Source organism: Homo sapiens, chromosome 3 (genome assembly GCF_000001405.40).
Source record: "Homo sapiens chromosome 3, GRCh38.p14 Primary Assembly".
NCBI classification, from domain to species: Eukaryota; Metazoa; Chordata; class Mammalia; order Primates; family Hominidae; genus Homo; species Homo sapiens.
In genome coordinates, this window is record NC_000003.12 from 138,186,239 (window position 1) to 138,213,458 (window position 27,220).

At 39.9% G+C, this 27,220-nt stretch overlaps 1 protein-coding gene across 15 annotated transcripts in view; it reads left to right on the forward strand.

Moving 5' to 3' along the window:
* Nucleotides 1-1,009: 1,009 nt before the first annotated feature.
* Nucleotides 1,010-27,220, forward strand: part of ARMC8 (armadillo repeat containing 8) — a 111,142-nt gene continuing 84,931 nt past the window's right edge. For 4 of the 15 annotated variants that reach the window (NM_001267041.2, XM_047447900.1, XM_017006100.3 and 1 more), the window contains exons 1-2: nt 1,010-1,361; nt 23,579-23,655. In NM_001267041.2, coding sequence (NP_001253970.1) covers nt 1,317-1,361; nt 23,579-23,655 — 122 coding nt within the window. In that variant the 5' untranslated portion in view covers nt 1,010-1,316. Of the gene's footprint in view, nt 1,362-2,162; nt 2,293-23,578; nt 23,656-27,220 lie in introns of all 15 variants that reach the window. The other 11 variants (XM_006713565.3, NM_213654.3, XM_024453441.2 and 8 more) reach the window with 9 other exon arrangements.

Sequence of the window (27,220 nt, forward strand, 5' to 3'; positions counted from 1 at the left end):
CTGCCTTCCAGGAATTCAACAGTTTGTTAAGGAACACAGACCCATAAGCAGGGGTGGTAAATGCTACACTAAATTTGGAAACCAAGTACAGGAGGAAGACAGGAAAACAGTGAGGAGCAGAGTGCGGGAGAGGCTACCAGCTACAAGACCAGTTGGAAGGCTATTGCTGTAGTCCAGGGGAGAGGTTACAAGAGCCTGAATTAGGGTGTGGCTATAGAAATGGAAGGAATACAAGTAATGTTAACAGGCCAATTGCAACCATACTGTGAAAACCTTACTGGTTGCAAGCAGTACGAAGGTGAAACTTATCCAACCAAGTCAAGGGCAGTGTTGCACACACACACACACACACACACAAAGTAGTAGGACAGCTGAATTAATCAAGTATAATTGAAAGCATACTTTTATTTAGCTTCGGTTATGAGAGTGTTTTAGTGCGAAATATTTAGATATTTGCCCCCATTTTCCCCACTTAACTCAGAAGCTGGAGAAATGTTAACACATATTGTATAACGCTTTCTATGTTCTAGGTTTTTTCTGAGAGCTTCACGTTTGTTGACTCCTCTATCCTCATTAACCTTTATTTTATAGATGAGGAAACTCAAACAGAAGGTTAGATAACTTGCCCAGGGTAAAGCAGCTGATAAATCAAGTAGCTAGGAAGAAACCCAAGCATTCTGGCTATTCTTAACACTACACCAGAATAAACGGGGCCGGCACACAACGCTAAGGCAAGTCACGTATCTGTATCGGATCGTGAAACAATCACTCTTACGGTTGGCAAAGGTTCTGGGATCGCAATTTCCCCACCTATAAAATGGAGATAACGACGCCGGGAGTTTGGTGCAGAGAGAGAGAATGAATATGAAAGTGAACTTCAAACTATGTATGTGGCTCCACGTACTACTTTTTCCAAATATGAATACTGGAATCCATAAACTGCAATTTATCAGTCCGTAAAACTCGTAGCGTCAGGGCGAGACTCCGCCTCTGGGGCCCCGCCCACCGCGAGCGGCAGGTGGGGCCGGCAGATCTTCTTTGCGCATGCGGAAACCGCTGCCCGCTTCCACCTCTAACCCAGGCTCAGAGTAGCTGCTGTTTCTGAGAGAACGATTCGTAGGACAGCCCCTGACGCCATTCCCTTTTGCCCTTCTTTCTGCGGGCCTTTCCGGTACTTGAGCGGTGTCCAGAGCGTGGCCAGTTCTCGTCTATCTGGCTGCCTTTAGGGAGCGGTGCCTAGCGTTGGCCAATAGTTGGCTGTCGAAAGTGCCGGCCCCCGCGCCGGCGCCTGCAGCAGCCGGGTGGGAAGGCTCAAGATGGCGTGCTTGTTGGAGACCCCAATCCGCATGAGCGTCCTTTCGGTGAGTGACCCGCCGCGGCCGCCCGCCCGCCCTCCAGGAAGCCTCATCCCGGTCTCCACCATTCCCCCAAGCGTGGTGTGCCTCCTGGGCACCACCCCCTGGGGTGGACCCCGGCTCAGTCTCGGGCCAGGGAGTGAGCGAGGGTGGAGAGGCGGGATAGACGGGCAGAGGGGACCGCGGCCGAGCCAAAGACGTTTCCAACTCCGGGAGCTCCCGCCGGTGCGGGTTCCCAGGATGGCGTCTGGCAGGCGGGGTGGCTGGGCTTATAGACAACTGGCTGGGCGGCGCGGCTTGGACTTTGCCAAGCGTTTCACTGAGCCTTCCTTTTAGCGATGCCGCTTCCCGGGGGCCGAACGCTCTGCCTTGTGAAGCGCCGGGCTTGCAGCCGGCCTGAGAACGAGCGCCCACTCAGCTCTCCCGGGCTTTGGCAAGAAGAGGTGCAGGCTCCTTGGCCCCCATTTCCTCAGAGCTGCCAGGCCAAGTCTGTGCGGCTTCTATCGCGTCCCAGCACCTGGGCACCGGCTGAAGCAGTTTGCTTTTTGGCAATGGTGATTCGTATCAGCTGCAACTCTTCCTAGTGTGTGTGGTTTTTTAAGCCCCTTTCCTCCGCTCTGCTCAGAGGTCGCGGCTCTGAGTCAGAGGAACTCTATGTTCCCTGTGCCTGGTATTCCGTTTTTCTTTAAGGGGAGTCAAACATTGAAGGGGGGAAAAGGGGGTGAGATTTATTTCCCCATTGTTGAAAGAAGGGAACGTATTGACATGCCAGGAAGTAAAACCTGTTTTTTTTTTTTTTAAAAAAAGTTTTTTTAAAGAAAAAGACGACTTTCACCTTTCACTATGTTGCTCTTGAACCAGGACCAGGAATGAAAGTTACTGGGAGATAACTTCGAAGGATTTTGCAACAAATTCGAGCTGTCCGACTCTGAGAATGGTCAGTTTACCAATGGTTCATTTGCTATTGTTGGAAACAAGCAGGCAAATACTGATTGACCATCTTTTAGACTTGTGGAAGCCAGTCTGATACTGAGAGGGTAGTTGGATTATAAATGACTTGTCGGGTTCCTAGAGTCTTGTAACTACAACCGGTTTCTTTTCTCTTCTCTGACTTGTCCCACAAACAAACTCACCTATCTGAAAACACCTAGGACATTTGCTTATGATTCAGGGTTAGAGCAGTGTGGCAGACCTCAACCTTGAAAAGGCTTAAGTTGTCAATACAATAATAATTTTGTGAGGCTGTCAACAGATTTTTCCCCTGATCCATTTTAGCAGTCATTTTTTCTTATTTTTAAACTGCAACTAAGGAAATACTGTTTACCTAAGTATTAGATCAGATTAGCCTGTTACTCCATCACTGACTGTAATACCCAGGAATATTCTGTGGGAGTGCAGGCCAATGACTTTTACCTCATTATGTTAAAAAAAAATAGTATGTGTCTTGGCTGTTCTCAGTTCTCCTTTAATTATTCATTTAGATTTCATTTATCCTTCAGTTCACCTGAAGTTTACTTTTTGGATGTTGTCAACTTGTATAATGCATATGATTGAAAGTTTTCATTTGTTTCACTTCCTTGGTAAATAATATTTTCTGCTTATTTTATTCAAAAACTTCTTGAAGAGTATTTTCTATTAATACTTCTATTTAGGATTTGCCTTTAGCCCTAGTCTCATTAGGGGCTTTTTTTTTTCTTTAATTAAAAAAAAAGGATTTCCGTAGTCCCAAAGTCTGGTCTATCAGATCTTCACTCCTAGAGCCTTGGGGAAGTAGGAGCTTTTGGATAAATGATTTAAAATGTTTCAATTCACTGATTTTACTAATTTAAAGTGAAACCTGTACCTTTCAAAGTACTACCCAGAGCACCATGTTTTGAAATGCAAACTAGAACAGGAAACATTCATCAGAAATTATCTTGAATGGTTGATTCCTTTAATAAGCTACAATGTACCAGTTACGTACAAGCTCTGTATTGTATACGTTAGAGAATGCAAGGATGAGATCAGAAATGCGTTTCAGGAGCTCATAGTCTGGGTGACGCTATAATTTGATAAACATAATTTCAGCAAGGAGGCATTCAAGTTGTTTTAAAGGATTTCCATTTGAGTCTCTTTATACCTTCTCCTTGGGAAATCTCATTGATTTTCCTGTACCCTTAACTGATCAGTTCACACATCTGCATTGCCAACCTTGACTTTCTTCTACATCTAGTCTTACATCTTAAATTGTGTGGATGACACCCATCGCTTCCAATAAAGCACATTCCTTCTCCTAAGGGGAATTAGTTATGAGTTCCCAATTTCTGTTAATGGTGTTATCTTTCACTGATAAGTAACTGTTAAACCTCCTGAATAATCTCTGATTCTTCCTCCTTTCATCCCCCTGTATCTACCAGTTGTTAAGCTCTGTTGCTTCTTTATTCTTAGTGTTTCTTATATCTTTCTCTTCCCATGACCACCCTCATTCAGGACTTTGTTGTTTTGTGCCTGCACTACCACAGCGTCCTTTTAATTATTTTTACTGTCTTTAATGTCTTACACTCTCAGTGCAAGTCCATGTCTACTTAAATTTTCCTAAAGAACTCTTCCTACAGCCGCTCCTCGGTTTCTTTTCTTGATTGAATTTGTTTTGCCCAAAGGCCCAAGTTTATATTCAGCTTCAGAGTTGAGATTCTTTATTTTCTTATCTTTTTTTTTTTTTTTTTTTTTTGAGATGGAGTTTTGCTCTTGTTGCCCAGACTGGAGTGCAGTGGCGCAATCTCGACTCACTGCAACCACCGCCTCCGGGGTTCAAGCGATTCTCCTGCCTCAGTCTCCTGAGTAGCTGGGATTACAGGCATCCACTACCATGCCTGGCTAATTTTTTTGTATTTTTAGTAGAGACAGAGTCTCACCATGTTGGCCAGGCTGGTCTCAAACTCCTGACCTCAAGTGATCCACCCACCTTGGCCTCCCAAAGTGCTGGGATTACAGGTGTGAGCCACTGCACCCGGCCGAGATTCTTTATCTTCTACATGAACCTGCTATCCTGTATAAACCGGCTTTCTCAGGTTAGAGTGATACAGAATTCTTCCAAACTCCAGTAAATCTTATTCTTCTTACTCATTTGTACATATGAATTTTAACTTTGTATATATATATTCTGTACATCTACTTTGAGCTTCTGCCATTTGCTAGGCAAGCATGGTGTTGAGTTTGGGAATACAGCCGTAAGCTACACAGACCTCTGTCCTTTTGGAAATGTTAGCCTAGTGGGAAAAATAGATATCAAATAATCACACAGTTTGTGAATGGTGATTAGTATTATGAATGAAGTATATAGGGTGCTGTTCAAAACATGTCATAGAGGAAACTGATCTAATATGGAGGGCAATAGGAAGAACTAGGGAAGGTTTCCCTGAAGAAGTGATGCTGAGCTGAAAGTTCAAGGATAAGTAAGAACTAACTAGAAAAAGTGACAGAAGAAGAGCATACAAGGCAAAGGGAACTGCTTTTGCAGAGGTCTTTAATAATACTCTATCTTGTCGTATTAGAGAGTAAATTAATTCAGAAGTAACACTTTGTCTTGCAAATCCTAGGTACTCAGTAAATGTTTGATTGAACTATCTATTTTGGAGGGTTGGACAAACTCTCCAGCCCTGTTTCTAGACTGCACTATGACCACCCCATCCCTCTTTGGTTTGCATTTAACATTACAACATCACCCTTTTCAACAAATTCATAAATTTCTGCAATGTTTTCTATACTTTTGAATTATGTTGATTGCATTTTTAAAAACATTTATTTTGAAATAATTATAGATTCACAGGAAGTTGCAAAGATAGTACAGACAGGTCCCTGTGTACACTTCACCCAGTTTCCCTCATAGGTTACATCTTATATAGTTACATTATAGTATCAAAACAAGGAAATTGATCTTGGTATAAGTATGTATCTGTTTCTGTATCATTTTATCACATGTTTATTTGTGTTACCATTACCACCACTGTCAAGATACAGAACTATTCCGTCACCGCAAAGATCTCCCTCATATTCCCTCTTTATAGTCCCACCTACCCAGCCTCTCCCCGCAACAGGTATCCCTAACCCCTGGCAACCATAATCTGTTCTCCATCTCTATAATGTTGTCATTTTCTATAATGTCATATGAATGGAATCATACAGTATGTGACTTTTTGAGGTTGTTTTTTGTCACTCAGTATAATGCTTTTGAGATCTATCCATATTGTTGTATGTAGCAGTAGTTCCTTTTTATTGTTAAGTAGTATTTCATGGTGTGGATGTACCACAGCTCGTTTAACCATTTACCTGTTGGGCGTTTTGGTTGCTTCTAGTTTTTGGCTATTATAACGTAGTATGAACAATCATGTACAGGTTTGTAAGGACATAACTTTTCATATCTCTGAGCTAAATGCCCAGGAGTGCAATTGCAGGATCAGATGGTAAATGCATGTTTAATTTTAAAATAAACTGACAAACTTTTCCAGAGTGGCTGTACTATTTTACATTTCTACCAGTAATATATGAGACATTGTTTCTCTGTATCCTCACTGCCATTTGATACTGTTATTATTTTTATTTTAGCTGTTTTAGTAGATGTGTAGTAATATCTCATCATGGTCTTAATTTGCATTTCCCTAATGATTAATAATGTTGAGAATATTTTTATTATTTATTTATCCTTTTTTTTTTTTTTTTTTTTGAGACGGAGTCTCCCTCTGTTGCCCAGGCAGGAGTGCAGTGGTGTGATCTCAGCTCACTGCAAGCTCCGCCTCCTGGGTTCACACCATTCTCCTGCTTCAGCCTCCTCAGTAGCTGGGACTACAGGTGCCCGCCACCACACCTGGCTAATTTTTTATATTTTTAGTAGAGACGGAGTTTCACTGTGTTAGCCAGGATAGTCTCAATCTCCTGACCTCATGATTCACCCTTCTCGGCCTCCCAGAGTGCTGGGATTACAGGCTTATTTATCCTTTTGAGACAGTCTTGCACTGTCACCTAGGCTGGAGTGCTATGGCGTGATCTCAGTTCACTGCAACCTCTGTCTCCTGGGCTCAAGCAATCCTTCTGCCTCAGCCTTCCAAGTAGCTGGGACTACAGGTGTGTGCCACCATGCCTGGCCATGTAGACGGGGTTTCACCATGTTTCTCAGGCTGGTCTGGAACTCCTAAGTGTAAGCCATACTCCCAGCTCAGCCTTTCAAAGTGTTGGGATTACAGGTGTGAGCCACTGCACCTGGCCTGAAAATCTTCGCTTATTTGCCATCCATGTTTTCTCTTTGGTGAAATATTTCTTCATGTCCTTTTGCCCACTTTCTAATTGGAGTGTTTGCTTCTTTACTGTGGTGTTTTAAAAGCTCTTTATAGGTTTTATTTTTATTTTATTTTATTTTTGATATGTGTTTCGCTCTTGTTGGCAAGGCTGGAGTGCAATGGCCTGGTCTCAACTTACTGCAGCCTCTGCCTCCCAGGTTCAAGCGATTCTCCTCTCTCAGCCTCCCAGGTAGCTGGGATTACAGATGCCCACCACCATGCCTGGCTAATTTTTGTATTTTTAGTAGAGATGGGGTTTCACCATGTTAGTCAGACTGGTCTCAAACTCCTGACCTCAGGCAGTCTGCCCATCTTGGCCTCCCAAAGTGCTGGGATTACAGGTGTGAGCCACCGCGCCGGCTTATCTTATTTTTTGAGAGAGTTTTGCTCTGTCATCCGGGCTGGAGTGCAGTGGTGTGATCTCAGCTCACTGCAACCTCTGCCTCCCAGGCTCAAGAGATTCTCGGGCCTCTGCCTCCCAAGTAGCTCAGATTACAGGCGTGTGCCACCGCGCCCAGCTAATTTTTTGTGTGTATTTTTAGTAAAGATGGGGTTTCGCCATGTTGGCCAGGCTGGTCTCAATCTCCTGGCCTCAGGTGATCTGCCCACCTTGGCCTCCCCAAGTGTTGAGATCATAGGCGTGAGCCACCGTGCCCAGCCAAAAGCTCTTTATATGTTTTAAATCTGAACCCTTTGTAAGATAGGTATTTGCAAATATTTTCTCCTAATCTGTAACTTGCCTTTTCATCCTCTTAACCACAATTTAAGATGAACCTTGATCTCATACCTTATACAAAAAGTAACTCAAAATGGATCATAGATTTTATCATAAAATAAAACTTTTAGAATAAAACAGGAGAAAATCTGCAGAACCTTAGGTTTGGTGAATAACTTTTAGACATAACACCAAATGCATTACTTATTAAAAAATTGATAAATTGGACTTTACCAAAATGAAAACTTACGCTCTGTGAAAGACCCTGTTAAAAGGATGGTTGCATTTAATTTTGGTCACTTTGTAATGGTAGAGAGGTAAGGTAACAAATTGTCTTTGAATCACTTTGTAGGCTATTATAAACAGCTGGGCACTTGTTGATTTTTAATTGTCTTCTTTACAGTCCTTTCCCAGTGGCATTACGTCTTTTTTTTTTTTTTGAGACGGCGTCTCGCTCTGTCTCCCAGGCTGGAGTGCAGTGGCGCGACCTCAGCTCACTGCAACCTCCGCCTCCTGGGTTCATGCCATTCTCCTGCCTCAGCCTCCCGAGTAGCTGGGACTACAGGCACCCACTGCCACGCCCGGCTAATTTTTTGTATTTTTTAGTAGAGACAGGGTTTCACTGTGTTAGCCAGTATGGTCTCGATCTCCTGACCTCGTGATCCGCCCGCCGCGGCCTCCCAAAATGCTGGGATTACAGGCGTAAGCCACTGCGCCCAGCTTTTTTTTTTTTTTTTTTGAGACGGAGTCTCTGTCGCCCAGGCTGGAGTGCAGTGGCGCGATCTCGGGTCACTGCAACCTCCGCCTCCCAGGTTCACACCATTCTCCTGCCTCAGCCTCCCGAGTAGCTGGGACTACAGGCACCTGCCACCACACCCAGCTAATTTTTTTGTATTTTTAGTAGAGAAGGGGTTTCACTGTGTTAGCCAGGATGGTCTCGATCTCCTGACCTCGTGATCTGCCCACCTTGGCCTCCCAAAGTGCTGGGATTACAGGCGTGAGCCACCGTGCCCAGCTGTCATTATTTTTTTTTTTTTGAAAAATAGCTGTTAGAACTGTATAGGGTATTCCAAATCTGGATATTCCTTCATTTTGTTCTGTTCTCTACAGTTATAAGCATATTGTTGGCCTTGCCTATAGCTACTTAATGATTTATTCTCTTACATCCATAACTGGCAATAATTAGGAAAAAAAATTGCTGTGAAGTCGAACCCACTATCCTGTAAACATAAATTTGGCCTCCCTAGGTTTTTAGTAATAAATGCAAAATAAAATCTGTACAGCACATTTTAAAGTTTGCCATTAGTTTACAAAGCACTAATAAGTACAGGGTATGTCAGTAGGTGGTCCTAAAATAAATTCATCAGTAAATCGCCAGGTGCAGTGGCTCACACCTGTAATCCTAGCATTTTGGGAGGCTTGGGCAGGTGGATCACCTGAGATCAGGAGTTCGAGATCAGCCTGACCAACATGGTGAAACCCCGTCTCTACTAAAAAATACAAAAAAATTAGCCAGGCATGGTTGCAGGCGCCTGTAGTCCCAGCTACTCGGGAGGCTGAGGCAGGAGAATGGCGTGAACCCGGGAAGTGGAGCTTGCAGTGAGCCGAGATTGCGCCACTGCAGTCCGCAGTCCGGCCTGGGCGACAGAGCGAGACTCCGTCTCAAAAAAAAAAAAAAAAAGAAACTATCTCAAAAAAATAAAAATAAATTCATCAATGAATCAATGTGAACTTTCTAATCTTTAATGGCAGTGTGTGAAAAATGAGAGGTGCTCATTGTATGTTTCTGGACATCTTGCTGTGTATTTAAGGAAAGACTAAGATAGTGCATGTTCAGGAAGTCTTTTAAACTCTGCAAAGAATCAGAAACACATTTATGTAGGGTCTTCAGATTTTACTTTTGAGACCTAGCCTTCTTATCACCTCCTATTTTCGCTAAATTTTAAAATACTTACTGTCAGCAGACAGGAATGTCAGTGATTCTGACTTGTATGTTTTTCAATTCTGATTTGGCATTTGTTTTGCAGTACCATCTGTCCTGTTGGCTTCTGGGTAAAGAGACGGTATTACATGAAAAAAAACAAAGCTCCTATTATCCTCTAGAAATTGGAGAGCAGCTGCCTTCACTGAACAGTAGTGCTATGATCCCTGGGACTGTTGAGATAGAAATTAAAGGTATTGCAAATAAGAGCAGTTTTACAGAAATAGCCCCCTGCCCCACCACTTGTCATTTTGTTGAAAAAAAAAAAAAAAACTGTTTTGACCACATTCCCTAATTTCAGAGGAATGAAGAGTTACATTTTCTAGCATATTCATAATGTAGGTATTAGAGGAAGGAGGAATGATGAAACAGTGTAAGGCTTTATATTAAAAATAAAAAGTTGTGGTCCAATGGGGAGTTTTCAACCTATAAGATCTATTAATATTGGGAGGTCTTTACCACCTGGAAAGTAATTATCGAACACATGCTTCTTTTGCCTTAGGGGTGTTTTTAAGAATTTCTTAGGCTTTCAGAAAGCTAATGGTGATTGATGGGATAAGGGAGACTAAGGAAAAGGAAAGAGTCATGATGATCATTATGATAAAGCATGATTCACAGGATTTATGCCTTTTTGGCCAGGTGGTATCATCTTCTGAGACGGTGAGAATTAGGAGAGGAATTTGTTAGGGGAGTAAGTAGGAAAATGAGTTTCATTTTGGACATGCCAAATTTGTAGTCAGTTGGAAAAAAAGGTTGAGTACCTAAATCTGGGGTCATGATCATTATTTTGGCATCATCAGTGTATTGATCTCTGGTTCTTAGCTGTTTAAGGATGAGAATCTCAATACCTGCTTTCCCAGGAGAACATGCATATGCCTAAATAGTTGCATAATTTCTAGAGATTGCTGGATTCCCTGAAACCCAGAAGTCACTCCAGAATTAACTTCTTCACCTGTCCCAGTGTGAGTCAAGAAAATGTAGCAAAAGCCAGGCACGGTGATTCACGCCTGTAATCCCAGCACTTTGGGAGACTGAGGCAGGTGGATCATCTGAGGTCAGGAGTCTGAGACCAGCCTAACATGGTGAAACCCCGTTTCTACTAAAAATAAAAAAAAATTAGCCAGGTGTGGTGGCGCACACCTGTAATCCCAGCTACTTGGGAGGCTGAGGCAGGAGAATTGCTTGAACCCGGGAGGCAGAGGTTGCAGTGAGCTGAGATCGCACCCTTGCACTCCAGCTTGGGCAACAAGAGTGAAACTCCGTCTCAAAAAAAATTTTTTTTTAAGTCATTTAAAATCATTTTGGAATGGTAAAGATTGTAGCAATAAGGTATTAAAACTCATGTGAGCTATTATGTGTGGGAATTGTTTCTGAAGAGCTACAATTTTTTACCCAGAGTATGCCAGTAATCTCCTAGAAGGTGTACTTTGTTCACAGAAAGGGCATTGTGTAGCAGGCCTGGGATGCAAAGCTAGGTTATCTGGAGATCCAAACAAACTACAAAGTAAGGTGATTGTGGGTCTGGACACAGGCAAAGTGGAATAGACAGATTCGAAGTGGCCTGCGATATTGCCGTGATTGTCACAGGCCACAATGTGGGTGACAGGTCAGGTCTGACAGATCTTGAGTGGTACTGTAATAGGAAAGTGAATGCACCAGCTGCTGCAAATGATGGGCTGAGTCTGAGGCAAGCACCATGGATAGCTCCAAGGCAGGGCTATTACTGCCTGTAAGAATCTGAAGCAAATAAAGCCCTTTTTTATCAGGAAGGCGCCTGGCCTGTCTGAACAATACTACTTCGAAGGTGTGCCATGAAAGATGGTACCCAGGATCTCTAAGTAATTACATGACAGCAATTTTGAATAATAATTTCAACTATTCTTATGGGCCAGGACAACACCTCACCCATATCTGAATAGCCTCACTTTGTTATGTGAGGATTGAGAAGTTGGCATTTAAATACATCCTAGTGGACTTCTTGGGTCATCTTATCACCTTGGGAGGCATATAAATGAACCTCAACCAATCCAGAGGATATCTCAGTCTTTGTGAAACTCCTGATCATTTTTGTAACCTTGCATGTGCTTTCCAGAGATAGTTCTTGCTCCCTTGGACTTTCAGATTATGCTGTCTCACACAGTGGGTTCTTATCTCATTTGCTCTATCCAGAGGTATCTTTTATTGACCCTCCGTTTAAGCATTCTCATCTACAGTGAAGAGTAAATGAATTGAATTTAATAGTGAGAAGAAACCTTAAAGATCTTCTAGAGCCAGATAGCTCTTTATGATTTATACCATATTTTAAAAGGGAAAACATCATAGTACTTGATTAGAAGCATGAATGCTAAATTACTTTCAGTCTTGTGACCACCAAGCATTTTATGGCAATATTTAATAGTTTACAAGGGCAATAAGAATGCATTATCACATTAAAAACTCACTACAGAGCCAGATGTGGTGCCGTACACCTGTAGTCCCAGCTCCTCAGGAGGCTGAGGCTGGTGGATCACTTGAGTCTGTGAGTTTGAGATTTGAGACCAGCCTACACAGCATAGCAAAACCCTGTCTCTTGGGGGCAAAAGCCAAACAAACAAAAAAAAAACTCCAGAAAAAGTAAAGGCTGCTCTTCATATCCCTTTTAATCTAACTGTGCCCTGGCTTTTCTTTTATGAAAAAAGAAACTCCCTCTTTGTTTGAGTATAAAATCATGGAATCTTTTCTTGGAAGAAACCTGCAGATAATCTTTAGTTCATTCTTGTCATTTTTTATTGAGGAAAACTGAAAACCGGAGAGGCTGGCTTGCCCACTGTAATATAAAATATCAGAGTCAGATCTCCAGACTCCCACTTTTTAAAAACAAAATTGTGTGTATAGCCTTATATTGTATATTCTTTATTATTATTATTATTATTATTATTATTATTTTTTGAGACAGATTCTCACTCTTCTCACCCAGGCTAGAGTGCAGTGGCACCGTCTCGGCTCACTGCAACCTCCGCCTCCCGGGTTCAAGTGATTCTCCTGCCTCAGCCTCCTAAGTAGCTGGGACTGCAGGTGCGTGCCACCACACCCAGCTAATTTTTTGTATTTTTAGTAGAGCCGAGGTTTCACTGTGTTAGCCAGGATGGTCTGTATCTCCTGACCTTGTGATTCCCCTGCTTCGGCCTCCCAAAGTGCTGGGATTACAGGCATGAGCCACTGCGCCCGGCCATATAGCCTTATATTTTAGAGTTTTTTTTTCAAATTTGATAAGCACTGATTAATTTACTATTTATTTTTGATAACGTGAAGTCTGGTTTTTGGTCTTTGCTGAGAAGTCAGGCTTACCTCTTATGCTATACAAGTATATTAAATTTAAAAATTATATATTTTAGTGTTTTTATGATTGTGTTTGTGAAATTAAAGTAGATTCCATGCTAGGAATCTCAGTTTCCTTAGTATGTTACATTCTACACTGTTGAGGCCCAGATGCATTGTGAAGTAACATTTTAGAAACTTTCCGAAGTTACTAGAGGCTACAGTACAGAGCTTTGATTAATCTTGGGAGGGAGGATGCAGTGAAACTTGACGTACCAAAAAGTGAATAAGGATAAAATTGGTTGCAAAAATAGTACACAAGGGGTATAAAAGGAATTGAATGTTTTAAATCTCATCAAGTCCTAATGGGGCTAGAAGTTTACCAGAATACAAAGAGCAAAACAAAATAAAACCAAAAAAGCCTACATCAAAATCTTGGGTTTTGGATAGTATTTGGGAATTTTCTTCTGATTTTTTTCTCCTTTTGGAGAAAATTGGAATGTAGGAATTTTGGAATACCTAAGAAGGACATGATAGCTGTCTCCAAGTAAAAGGTCTGTCTTTGTGGATAGTGTTATCCTTTTTTGTTCCAAGTAGAGGCAGATTTTTTTCCCTCAAAATTAGGAAAGAATTGCCTAACAATTAGTTTTGTCTAATAGTGAAATTAACTCTGGCAGTGAAATAGTACACATCACCAGAACTCTTCAGGCAGCAGTTAGGCAGTTGTATTTAATATTGTTTGTCTTTCATGATTTCATGAGAACACAACCAGAACGAAGGGGAAGACGTGATTTGAAATTAAAGCACAATTTAGTAAAATGCTGCTTTTAAAGTATTGGTGTCTGATATTCTGTATTGTGGTAGTCCTAATCTCTGTAGGGACAAGTACAAATACATTGTCACTGGGCTTTAAAATGAATAATTGAGAATTTGTGATTGATCTGAGCAGTGTACTTGGTGGCATTTTAGTAAATTGTCACAGTGACAAAAGGAAGTATTTTTTGAACTGAGGGTTTTGGAGGTATCAGAAAATCAAATTTTGGTTTCACATTGTTTTAGGGATAGAAGGAGGTTCTGGGGCTCCCAGTTGACCGGAAGGTTGAGTTGTTTCAGTTTGTGGTTTCCCAACCCTATCAGACTCACACACTCTGCTTATAATAGATATTTTGTGGCACTTTTTTGGCTATCTTGAAGTGGCATTCATAGATAAGTTAACTGTCCTCACATGTAACTTTTAAAAAGTTGATATAATGCTCCAGCTGTAATAAAGGAGAAAGGCATGAAGCTAATTTATAACATCATTTAAACCCGTAAATACTCAGGTCCTGCTATACCAGAAGTAATTAAGTAACGGTATGTTTGTAAATATACATAGTTTTGTTGTGAATGTGACAGTTACACTGCAGACTGATATATGTTGTAATGTTTTTATGTGACTTTCTGAAATGAATGACTTTTGGTAAAGTTCCTACCAGGACAAAATACCACCTTTTCTTTATTCACATGAGTTACATTCTTGGAAAATCGATTGTACATTAAAATGGTACAAAACATATTTTGTGTTTCTATGTAAAATGGAATTATACTCTAGGTTTTTTGCCTACATGACTGGAGAGTGGAAAGTTGGGGGATGTGTGCCTATTATCCCAGGACATCTAGCATCTTTAGTCCTTGCCCACTAGATATCAGTAGCATTTGCTGTCATTGTGACAGCCAAAATCATGTTTCAGACTTAAAAAATGGATCCTGATTAGAACTGCTGAGAGCATGGGGCTTTCTGAGTGATGTGTGTGTCTTAGCATACACCCTTCCCTTTTCTCACCTCCACTTCCATCTCCCCTCCAGTGTGTGACAGTGTATAGTATAAGCACTTGGAAACAAAATATGCTATTAAACATTTTTTCCATGCTGGGTCTAGCCCTTAATATAATGATATCACTTATTTATTATGTTTATTGCTTTTTCTCTTTCTCCCTTTGTTGAAATGTACACACCCTTCAGTGGGCTTTTTTTTTTTTTTTTTTTTTTTTTTGAAATGGAGTCTCCCTCTGTTACCCAGGCTGAAGTGCAGTGGCGTGATCTTGGCTCATTGTAGCCTCTGCTTCCTGGGTTCAAACGATTCTCCTGCCTCAGCTTCCCCAGTAGCTGGGATTATAGATGCATGCCACCATGCCCGACTAATTTTGTATTTTTAGTAGAGACTGGGTTTCACCGTCTTGGCCAGGCTGGTCTTGAACTCCTGACCTCAGGTGATCCACCCACCTTGGCCTCCCAAAGTGCTGGGATTACAGGCGTGAGCTATGCCTGGCCTATTTTTTTTTTTAATGTTAGTTGCCTAGAATAGTGTCTGCATAGCTGTTTAAATATTTTCTTGACCAACTCAGTTAAAAAATACACTTCAGCATTGTTTTGTGTTCTCAACTGTATACTATATCATCGTAATACTAAATTACATTTTCTTTCTCAAACACTTTTTTGCTTTAGAGCTCTTGCATATGTTGTGCTCTCTACCTAGAGTCCTTGTCTTCTTCCCCTCCCTTTTTTTTTTTTTTTTTTTTTTTTTTTTTTTTTTTTTTTTTCCTGAGACAGAGTCTTGCTCTGTCTCCAGGCTGGAGTGCAGTGGTGCACTCTTGGCTCACAGCAACCTCCACCTCCCGGGTTCAAGCGATTCTCGTGCCTCAGCCGCCCAAGTAGGTAGCATTACAGGCACACGCCACCACACCCGGCTAATTTTTGTATTTTAGTAGAGACGGTGTTTCACCATGTTGGTCAGGTTGGTCTTGAACTCCTGACCTCACTCTCTGCCCGCCTCGGTCTCCCAAAGTGCTGGGATTACAGGCGTGGGCCACTGCGCCCGACCTTACCCTTCCCTTTTTCACCTGGCAGATTAATATTAATCTTTCAGATTACTCATCCTTACTTAGAGATTATTTTCCATCTTGTCCCTAACTTCAATGATATCTTCAATTTTCTTTTTACGTTGTGTTCACTTTTATGATTACACTAAATCACTTTAATATGGTTACACTTGTAACTTGCTTGTTTACATGGTGTTTCCTTTCTGTGCTATGAAACCCTGAGGGTAAGGAACTCTGTTTACATCCAGAACCTGGCATAATTCCTGGTAAATTAATGATACAATTTGAATTTCATTTAAAATCGAACTTTTGTAGAGTTCAAACTTCCTATTTTTGTGTTTGTTTCTTTCATCTCTCCCCAAACCAGGATTTTCTCTCACAATGCTGAATTATGAACAGTTTTATCTTGAAGTTCCTACTAGTTTGTGGACTAATTGACATGTTAAATTTTGATTAGCAACCACTGGTTTAAACATTCATTTCGTCTGGGGTCAGAATACCTCATTGGGAATTGTAATGCTATTTTAATTTCTAAAGAGCAAATGAATTAAATGAATAAGTAGATATGAAAATGAACTAGAACATACTAAACAAGTATATTTGGTTTTTGCTGAGTATTTAGCTTAGTTTGAGAGTAAGCTGCTATTAGTTGAGGATGGGTATTTTTGAATAATTTAACTTTAACCATGAATGTGAATAACTGAGGACTATTAGTACCCTTGTCAAAGCAAATTACCCTCTTTGCACAGAAATAGAATTACTCTGAAAATCGGTATTTCAGGATACTTTTACAGTTTACAAGGGATTTTCTGTGTGATTTGAGGCACAGCCTGAGACGTGATAACATCACCATTTTATTATTAAAGAAACAGTCTCAAATTTTACCTTTTTCCAAAGTTGCATAGCTAGTAAGTGGTAAAACTAAAATTCATACCTAAGTCTTCAAATGCCAAATTATTTGTTCTTTCTGCTACATGATATCTGAGTATGTTAGAAATAAAGAACACTATATTTTGATAAAATATACACAGAGCAAGACTTTATTGAAATAAGTTTGGTATTTTCCTATTAGCCTTCAAATTTTTATTCTTCATTGTCTAATAAACTAATGGTTTTACCCTAAAACTTGAGTTGAACACTTATTTTTCCCATTTTTTGAGTTAAATCCTATTCATGACAAGCCTGGAGTTTAAACCCTACCTGAATAAATTTTTTTCAAAAGGCAATGGTTTAAATTCACCATAGTCATGGGTAGTTTATTCAATCAAAGGGACAATCAGAGCCTGTTGTAGTTTGCCTTTTTAGGACATCTCACTAGTTTCCTGAGCTATCTGTAAGTTTTTCTGCTTTTCTTTTGCACTATTAAAGACAAACAAAAGGTGGGATTGATTACTCAGCTTAATTTGTCTCCAACAATCTTATTTTATGCATATTATTCTGTGACAGTTATTAATGATGCCCTCTTTCACTCTTAAAATTATCCTGATTTGGATGATAAATTCAAAGGCCTATAAGTTACCTATTGCTGTGTAACAAATTTCCCCAAAACTTAGCTGCTTAAATCATTTATTATCTCAGTTTCTGTAGGTTAGTAATACAAATGTGGCCTAGTTGGTGCCTCTGGCCCAAGATCTCTTATGTGGTTGCAGTGAGGGTGTCAGCAGGAGTCACAGTGTCATCTGAAGGCTCAGTTCAGGGAGAATTCAGTTCTAAGCTCACTCATGTGGTTGTTGGCAGGTTTTAGTTCCATGCCATGTGGGCCTCTCCACGGGGCAGCTCCACAGCCTGACAACTAGTTTCTGTTAGAGAAAAAGGGAGGGGGCAGGGAGAACTTGGAAGTTTCTGAAATGGCATCTTATTACCTCTGCTGCATTCCATTTGCTAGAACCTACTTACTTGATCCAGTCCTCACTCAAGGTGAGGGATTGCACGAGGGCGTGAATATCAGGAGGTGGGGATCATTGGGGCCTATCACAGATAGTCACCTTAATAAAAGGAAAACTGCTTCCACATAATACTTTTCCACAATGGAATACAACTCATTACCTGTTGCTGTTTTTGTTTTCCTGAATAAATTTACTTCAGACTTCTCCCCAGCTCTCTTATTCATGGCTGCTTCTGTGCATTTAATTGTAGCTGGAGAAAAACAGCCATGCTGATGGGTTTCCTGTCAAATTTATAATCACAAGCCTCAGTAAGCCCCTTATTGCTCTCTGGCAGTCCTGGTCCATTTTCCTGGCCCATTCAGTGTCTTATTCCTTCTCCTCTTTCTTCAAACCACTCACATTTCTTCCTCTATTTTTACTTTCCAAAAATAGAAGTAATCTGAAGAGAACTTTCACAAGCTCTCACCACCATATCCACCCAGGCTGGAGTGCAGTGGCTTGGATCTTGTGGAGTGATCTTGGCTCATTGCAACCTCCGCCTCTGTGGATCAAGCGATTCTTGTGCCTCAGCCTCCTGAATAGCTGGGATTACAGTCACCCGCCACTACACCTGGCTATAATTCCCTCTTGTTATTGTACTTACACATGCTCTACTTGACTAGTAAATCCCATTCTCCCTCAGTTATTCATGAACGTTGTTACAGTTCTCTCCCTTCTCATGCAGCATCAAATTGTCTTCTCTATTAAAACATTTCCGTCAATGAATAAGCATGCTCCAATTTATTCTGTCTTAAAAAATAGACTCTCTCCTGAGTCTACTTCTCCCTCTAGCTACTATATTTCTTTACTCCCCTTTACAGTGAAAAGCCTTCTTTCAAGGTTCTTGTTCTTCTGGTTCTTCTTTTCCCATTCTCTCTTAAACTCTCTCCAAGCAGGCTTTGGCCCCACTGTACTGCTGTTGTCAAGATCAGTGAACACCTCCATGTTCCTAAATCCAAAGGTTAGATCTTAATTATCATCTTAGCTACACATCACTAGGATTTGACATAGTTGATTAGTCCCCTTTTGAAATAGCCCCTTGATTTGACATCCTGGATTTCTTCACTCTACACTGGCTGCTTGTTTGACTACTCCAGAGCAGAGTCTTCCAGTCTTGCGGTATCCAGGATCACTCCCTTAGTTAATTAATTTCATTATATGCTGACAACATCTGATTTACACGTCTAGCCCACAACTTTTTCCTAAACTCTAGGCTTACATATCCACTGCCAACTTGACATCCTCACTTGGATGTCTAATATGATTCTCAATCCTAACATGTCCACAACTGAATTTTTGATCTTCCCAGTCAAATTCAGACCTCCTACAGTCTTCCTCATCTCATTAACTAGCAACTCAGTCTCTTTTCTTTTCTTTTCTTTTTTTTTTTTTTTTTTTTTTTTTTGAGGTGAAGTCTCACTCTGTCACCCAGGCTGGAGTGCAGTGACGTGATCTTAGCCCACTGCAACCTCCACCTCCCTGGTTCAAGTGATTCTCCTGCCTCAGCCTTCCGAGTAGCCAGGACTAAAGGTGCGCGCCACCATGCCCGGCTAGAGACAGGGTTTCACCATCTTGGCCAGGCTGGTCTCGATCTCCTGACCTCGTGATCTGCCCGCCTCAGCCTCCTAAAGTGCTGGGATTACAGGCGTGAGCCACCACGCCCGGCGGCAATTCAGTCTTTTAATGTGCTCAGGGAAGTAAGTGTTACCCTTGCCTCCTTTCTTCTCTCACACCCTACATCGAGTCTAATGGCTTATCCATTTTATAACTTCAGCACTTACCTGGAATCTGAATACATCTTCCACAGTGTTTGGTCTAGTCCATGCTACCATCATCTATGAAATAATAGCATTACCGGTGATGGAAATAACCTCCTTCCTAGTCTCCCTACTTTTGTCTTGTATTCCTTCCCTTTCTCCACACGTGTCTGTTCCTAAATTGCAACCAGAGTGATGCTTTAAAAACATAAGTCAGGGCCAGGCATTGTGGCTCACGCCTGTAATCCCAGCACTCTGGGAGGCTGAGGTGGGAGGATCGCTTGAGGTCAGGAATTTGATATCAGCCTGGGCAACGAGGTTGAGACCTTGTCTCTACTAAAAATAAACAAAACATAAGATAAGTACACACATAAGTCAGATCATGTGTCTATTTCCCTAAACCCTCTAATGGCTTCCCAACTTGGACCATAAAAATAAAAATCCTAACAATGACCAACAAAGTTCTATACTAGTGCTATCCAATGGAAAAAGGCAAGCCACATACGTGATTTAAAATTTTCTAGCAGCCATGCTGTCTAAAGTAAAAAGGAAACAAGTGAAGTTGATTTTAATGTTATTTAAACAAGTAAAGCAAAATATTATTTCAATATATCTGTGTAATAAGTTATTACTGAAATTTGTTGCAAAAATAGCAAGTCTTCAGTATCTGATGTATAGTTTATACAATTTGGATGCTAAATTTTTATTGGAAATACTTGATTCATATTTAGGTGTCATAAAGTTTATAGTTGAAAATGTAAACTCATATACCCAAGTAGTTCCAAATCATTCTTAAAAGTTTTAAAATAACTGAATCCAGTATTGGTTTTTTAATTTTAATTAAAGTTTAAAATATAAACAAAATTCACTTCCTAGCCACATTTCAAATTTCAATTGCCATATGAGGCTAGAGGCTGGCTTACTGGACAGTGCAGCTCTTTACCATCTGGCGCCTGTTCTCTGCCTCATCTCCTGCTGCTTTCTCCTTTGCTCATTCTGCTCCAGCTATAATGGCCTCCTATTCTTTGATTATGGCAGATACTTCTCATTTTAGGGCATTTGAATTTGCTGTTCTTTTTGCCTAAAAAAAGCTCTACCCCTAGGTAGGTGCACAGTCTGCTCCTTCACCTTCTTTAGGACTTCGCTCAAATGTCACCTTTTTAGACGTTCTTTCTCTTATCAACCCATTTAATATCTGTACAAATTGCCTTCTCTCCCTACCTCTTATATTTCTAGGCTGCCTTCTGAAAGAAGAGAGAAGAGGACTGGGAGGGGAGAGGTGACCTGATCTACAAGGAGCAGTGAAATATCAGAATTGTCCTATACAGATAAATGAATACATTAGACAAAAGCGTAGAGTAAGATAAGGTTGAATAAGTGATCATACCCCTTCAGCTTGCTTGCTGTCTGAGCAACTTATATGATTATTTTTGCGTATACATAACAATTTCAGATACTAAGCTTCTTAAATGCAAGGCTCTGCCTTAATGTCCTCTTATACCTTCTTTGGCATCTAGCATGTAACTTTGACCAAAAGGCAGTGTGAAATCTCCAATTGTGGTCCACCTATTGGTTAGCCTTTTGTGTTTTACATCCTGCGGTGCCTCTCTATCCTCTGTTCTTTTCAGTGCCAGCAACTAGTATACTTGCTGATTGTTTACTTGTATTGGCTTTGCATGCCCTGTGGCAATGATTGTGACATTGATTCTTTCTTTCCTTGTCCATCCTGGTACACTCTTACTCATTTTCCAAAGCCAATTCCTGAAAGAAGCCTTCCCTGATTCCCCTGGTTTACAAATGTCCTCCTCAGTGCCGCCTTTATGTTGTGTATACTATAATTCTTATATTCTAATAGGGAAATAATCATGTAAACATAGTAACAAGAGAATATGAATTCTTGAGAACAGGGACTGTGCCTTGCTTATCTTCTTTATTAAAGATAAATTTATTTTTAATGCTTTCCTCAGTGCATGTTATATTGAATGAACCAGGCACAGAGCAGCAAAAGAATTGCTATTAATGGGGGAAACTTATGTTAAGATACACATCATTGAGAGGTAAGAGATGTGGAGCTATAGACAGTAAAGATAGAACAGTAACATCAAAATCAATCTCTGGATAGGAGGGTCTGAGGTACTTAGAACTTACTATGTCAGAAAACCAGGAAAACATGTACTCAAATGGAGTGGCAAAACTTACCTGTTTGTATTATAGTAGTGCTTTTTTTCAGTTCTTCTGTAGCTTTTGGTTGTCATATATTGTTTCTTGATATGTTCGTACAGTTATTTGTGTCCTAACTGTACATTTGAAGATCTGACAAATGGGTAAAGATCATGAGAAGCCCCATTTGTAAACCGAGGGATTGAGCAGATTATTGTTGAGAGTCCTTCTAACTCTGTGATTCTGTTATTTTGAGGAAAACATGTGTTAGCAGGTGCTTTAATGGTACCCTGGTGGGCACAAGAATTTTCACCACTTTTGCCTCTTTGCTTCCACTGTTTGTTCTTTAAAAATGAAGTACATGCTAAAAGCAAGCATTTGAGCTGGATGTAGTGGCACATACCTGTAGTCAAGTTACTTGGGAGGCTGAGATGAGAGTATTCCTTGAGCCCAGGAGTTTGAGATCGGCCTGGGCAAGACGGCATCTCTGTTTTTTTTTTTTTGTTGTTGTTGTTGTTTTAAAGGAGGTATTTGAGTTGCCTTTGAGGATATTTTGGTAGCAAATTCAGAATACGAAAATATGTGTTGGCTGGGCACAGTGGCTCATGCCTGTAATCCCAGCACTTTGGGAGGCCAAGGCGGGCGGATCACGAGGTCAGGGGTTCAAGACCAGCCTGGCCAACATGGTGAAACCCCATCTCTACTAAAAATACAAAAATTAGCTGGATGTGGTGGTGCGCGCCTGTAATCCCAGCTACTCAGGAGGCTGAGGCAGGAGAATTGCTTGAACCCGAGAGGCGGAGGTTGCAAGTGAGCCAAGATCATGCTGCTGGACTCTAGCCTGGGCAACAGAGCGAGACTTCGTCTCAGGGGAGGGGGGAAGAAAATATATGTTGACTTAGTTAACTATATTATCAGAAAACTAGAGTTTGTGTAGTTCTCCAGAGTTATTTTTGGTGGCTCAAAAGTTTTAAGCTGGTACTGTGTCTTGGTAATTAACTTTTACTGATTTGGAGTTCTGAGTAAATTGGAAAAGTTATTTCTTCCTCCCTATAAGAACTTATTGCTAACGGCGGGGGAGTATATAAAGATATTTCAGCAGGCATCAGAAAAAACAAGCAGGGGACAAAACTTTTTCTCTGGTTCTTAAATATGGATTCTTTATTTTAAATAATATGAAGCATCAAAAATTAAATATTAAAAAAGAGTTACCCTCCAAAATAAGTATTACAAGAAATAACACAATAGAAAAACTTCACAATACAAATGAAAAGGAGGTAAGTGTCTTCCCTTTGTACTCTTTCTAATTCTACCCACCCTTATCCAGTTCAGTTGAGACAGCTTGGGTGGCCTACAGATCACTCTAATTCTTAATTGTTTTCCTTCACAGAAAGTGTGACAACTCCTTTATTTATTTTTACTTCTGCCTCCAGCAATGAAGCTTCTCTACATTAGTCTAAGGATTTCCTCTTGTACCTAGACTACCCCTTACAGACTGTTTCATGGAGTCCTCACTCTTCCCTGGCTGAGAGCCAGATTTTGTCCTTTTGTGTATACTAATTTATAGAAGTAATATTCCTATCTATTAATTATACGTACATGACACCCAGCAGTTAGTGAAGAAACTTAGCTTGCTGCTAAGTGTATATGCTAACATATTTGCCTAGGTCTTCTGTTGGCAAAACTTCTAGGGCTCGCCACAAAGGTCCCACTGTCTAGCTATGTGTTTAGTGAGAACTAGGAGTCTTCTTTCTTTTCTGTCTTACTGTTTATCTTTGTCATGAGCTTTTTTTCAGACTAATGTAATAAAGTATTTACAAAAATATACTTAATATCTTCCTGATGATTCTTCTGAATGAACAAAGTGATGTGCTTTGTAATTACGTTGATTTTCCAAACTCTCCTGCTAGTTTTAAGACATAGTAAAATGTATACCATGGACATTCTTACTTTTGAAATTGGGCATTCTTAGAAGAAAAATATTGATCTTTGACATCTTGAACTGAACACTACAGTTTCCCATTATTTTGATACCTGAGAGAGAAAAGTCACCTGCTTAAGTATCCCATATCATGAGGAGGCAAAACTAAGTATTTCATATAAATTTTAATGCATCTACCTTAAGTTAAATTATCTAGTCACTTGATATTGTGGGTGATGCTGTGAATTTGTGATTTGCATGGCTTCAGATGTCATAATTTTTCCCCCCACTTTCTAGGAAGTAACAGCTAGCAGTCGCCACTATGTTGACAGGCTATTTGACCCTGATCCCCAGAAAGTTCTACAAGGTGTCATGTAAGTAGTATGTATTTAAGAGTCTATCAAAAAGTTGTTTGTTTTCATGTTTTAATCTGCCACATATTTTAATTTTGAAAATACAGGGTTATACCTTTTTTCTTTCATTTGGCTTCTTTCTAGAAAGACTGCTTGACATTCATGACGTTTAATATTTTACCATAAAGAATTGTCTTTTGAATAGTTGTTAACTGACATGGTTAGCTTCATTTTTTGTAGAATACTTGTTTCACATTAAAAAAATGTTTTCTTTGGAGAATGCTTTTGCTTCTTTAATATCCACAAAAGCAGGAGAATAAGATTGATGGTCTTTCATAATTGGAATGCAGTGAAAGAATAGACCAGTAGGGTTTTTTGTTTTGCTTTGTTTTGTTTTTGGTTAACTCATTAACTGTCACCAAGATTGAGTCTCCTGTTGATGTTTTAAATTTCGAATTTAGAAAGCTGTCAGAAAATTTAAACTCTTAATAACCATAATGCCTTTTTTTCTCCAAAATTTCATGTTTAATGAGAGGAAACATTTTTAAGCAACATACCAGAGGTAATTATGCTCTTAAAAAATTAAGAGAAGCAAGTAGGATAAGATTTCAGATTTATTCCCTTTCCTTTGAGTTTCAGATTATCATACTCTTAGCGCATTAGTTCTAAGGAGGAAGGTCTAGACTAAGGCTTATCATGGGGTTGGGAAATGTGAAGGATCCACAGGCCTGAACTGTGTCTATGGGAAGAAAGACACAAAAAAGGGTCAAGATACATTTGGGTAATGATGAGGGCGCCCATGAGGGAGGCCTCTTTCTTTTTCTCTAATCCCATAAGCATTGTCAGCCAAATAGTACTTTAACTTGTGCTTAGCCATGGCAAGGCTGGGATGCTTTGTTTATACAAGTTTCTTCGGACTGCAGTTCTTAAAGCCTCTCTCCCCAAAGGCATTGTAGGCTTTGGAGTTGTGAATTTATAAAGGGAGGTAAAATAAAAGTGCTGTAAAACTGCTTGGCTATTCAAATTGAGCTGGAAGGGAAGGTGGGAAGCTGGTTAGGATCCACCGAGATACTTGACGCTTATTTTCACGGCTTCTCAGTTTACAAAAAACGGTGGTATTTCTGGTGTTCTCATTATGTTAACTTTGCCTTTGTTCCCTTAAGTAGGAGACTTTATAATTATTTAATCACTCCTTTTTAGACTAGTTTAATTATTACCAGGAAAAATGGTTTATTAAATCCATCTATTAAATAAATCAGTTTGGGTTGTACCTACACACACAAGTTCGTCAAGGGGGCAGGTTTTACTTAACACTCTTCCTTAGACAGATACTCTCCACATATAACCAGATAGCTCCGTATATAGATAATTCTAAGTATTACTTAAAATTACTCAATAAATGGTTGAGAATGTTAGACTTATTAAGTGTTCAATAAATGGTATTAAAAGATGATATCACTGCTACTATGTTTAGGAGAAAGCTGTTTAGTAATCAAGAATTCTGTGTGATAGACTGGTAGAGTTCTATCTGATATGAGTAGCTGATTCGAATGTTGTCACTTTGAGAAATTTTTTACTTACCAAAGAACACTAGTTTCTCAAAAATTGATAAAATACCAAATGATAAAAGTGGGAAAGATAGAATTATGACAAAGCAGCTAAAATGTAGTTTGATAGCCTTAGTGTCTTTTGAAAAACTACCAGTTTGAGACCTAATTAGCTGTCAGCTAGACATAAAGAAATGTTTGTGTGAAGGAATGGTAGAGTAGAAGGAGCGTGGGGTTTGGAGTTGGACCATAGTGGTTTGAATTCCTAATTCTGACATTTTCTGTTATGGTCCCTTTCTAGTGGTGTGCTTGGACAAGTTTTGTAATTTCATTGAGCCTCAATTTCATCATCTGTAAAGATAACACTGCCCATATTGCCAGGTTGATGTGAGAATTAAATCAGAATTATAAAATTCAATGTCTGATACGTTGTGGATCAGTTGGCACTTAAGTGGTTAGTTGTTATTAGCTCCAATTTAAAACAACTTAAAAAAAAAGATAATTCTCCTCAAAGAAGAGAAAGGGGGAAAAAAACAGAGGAGACAGTTCAAACTAAAGTAGAAGAGAGAGAGGGACTAAAATTCCTAACTCAGACAAGAGAATGTGAGTGATAACATTCTAGTAAACGTGATTGCTACTTAAAATACTAAAATCTGTTTATAGTTTAAAGGGGACAGATCACCCAACATTTTTTTTTCTTTATCTCAGAGTAATACTGATCTTATGGAGATAGTGTAGTGTGATTTGATAAAGCTTCCTTTTCTCCAGATAGAAATATTTATTCTTTCTGACTTCTTTCTTAAACTTTGTTACTGTCTGAAAATTAATTGTACATGGTCAAGAGAATGAAAAGTGGATTACTTTCAACATTATCTGTCTTTAAGTAATCTTTTTTTTTTTTTTTTTTGAGACGGAGTTTCACTCTTTTTGCCCAGGCTGCAGTGCAATGGCGCGATCTCGGCTCACCGCAACCTCCACCTCCCGGGTTCAAATAATTCTCCTGCCTCAGCCTCCCGAGTAGCAGGGATTACAGGCGCCCACCACCATGCTCGGCTAATTTTGTATATTTAGTAGAGACGAGGTTTCTCCATGTTGGTCAGGCTGGTCTCGAACTCCTGACCTCAGGTGATCCACCTCTCGGCCTCCCAAAGTGCTGGGATTACAGGCGTGAGCCACCGCGCCTGGCCTAAGTAATCTTGTTTAATACAATATGTATAGAAAAAGGGAATGAAAATGGTATTTAGGAAAAGAGAGTTGACCAATTTTTTGATTTTTATACACCTCACAGTCATCATTAAGTCACCATTAAGTCATCATTAAGAGACCATTACTAGACCAAAATAGGTAGGTAGAAAGATGGCCACAGAGTATAAACAACCAAAGGTAGCCTATTAATTTTAGGGAAGGAAAAGGTAGAGGCCGAAATAGCATTAAATCCAAAATATTTAATTGAAAGGACATAAAATAATTGACAAAAATTGTAGCTTTGACTACAAGCCAACCAGAGTTTTATCATTTTTCTGGCTCTTTCAAGTTTGATTTTTCTCAATAAATGTTGTGAACATATACGAGGCATGGTGGAAGGCATGTGTAGTTAACAGTTGCTTGGGAGGCTGAGGCAGGAAGATTGCTGGAGCCTAGGAGTTCAAATCCTGCCTGGGCAACACAGTGAGACTCTATCTTGAAGACAAATAAGATTGTGAACATGTGTAGCATACTAGCAGGAAAAGCAAAATCAAATTAAAGATGAATAATGATTCTTCATCATAGTCTACAACTAATCTACTAGCTGAGTTAGAGCTATAGATCTACCCATAAATATGGGAACTTTGTAGATAGCTCACATCACAGTGAACCATTTTACCTAGTCAGTGAGTATGCCTTGTTGAAAGATTAACATTAAGCATCAGAACTGCTTAATTTTCAATTGTTGAAGAATGCAGAGTTATCTAGAGATAAATTTGTTAGTAGCACAATAGTTAGCATAAACTTGAATTGTCCTGTTGTGTAAAAGGTTTGAATACAAAATCAGGTCCTTT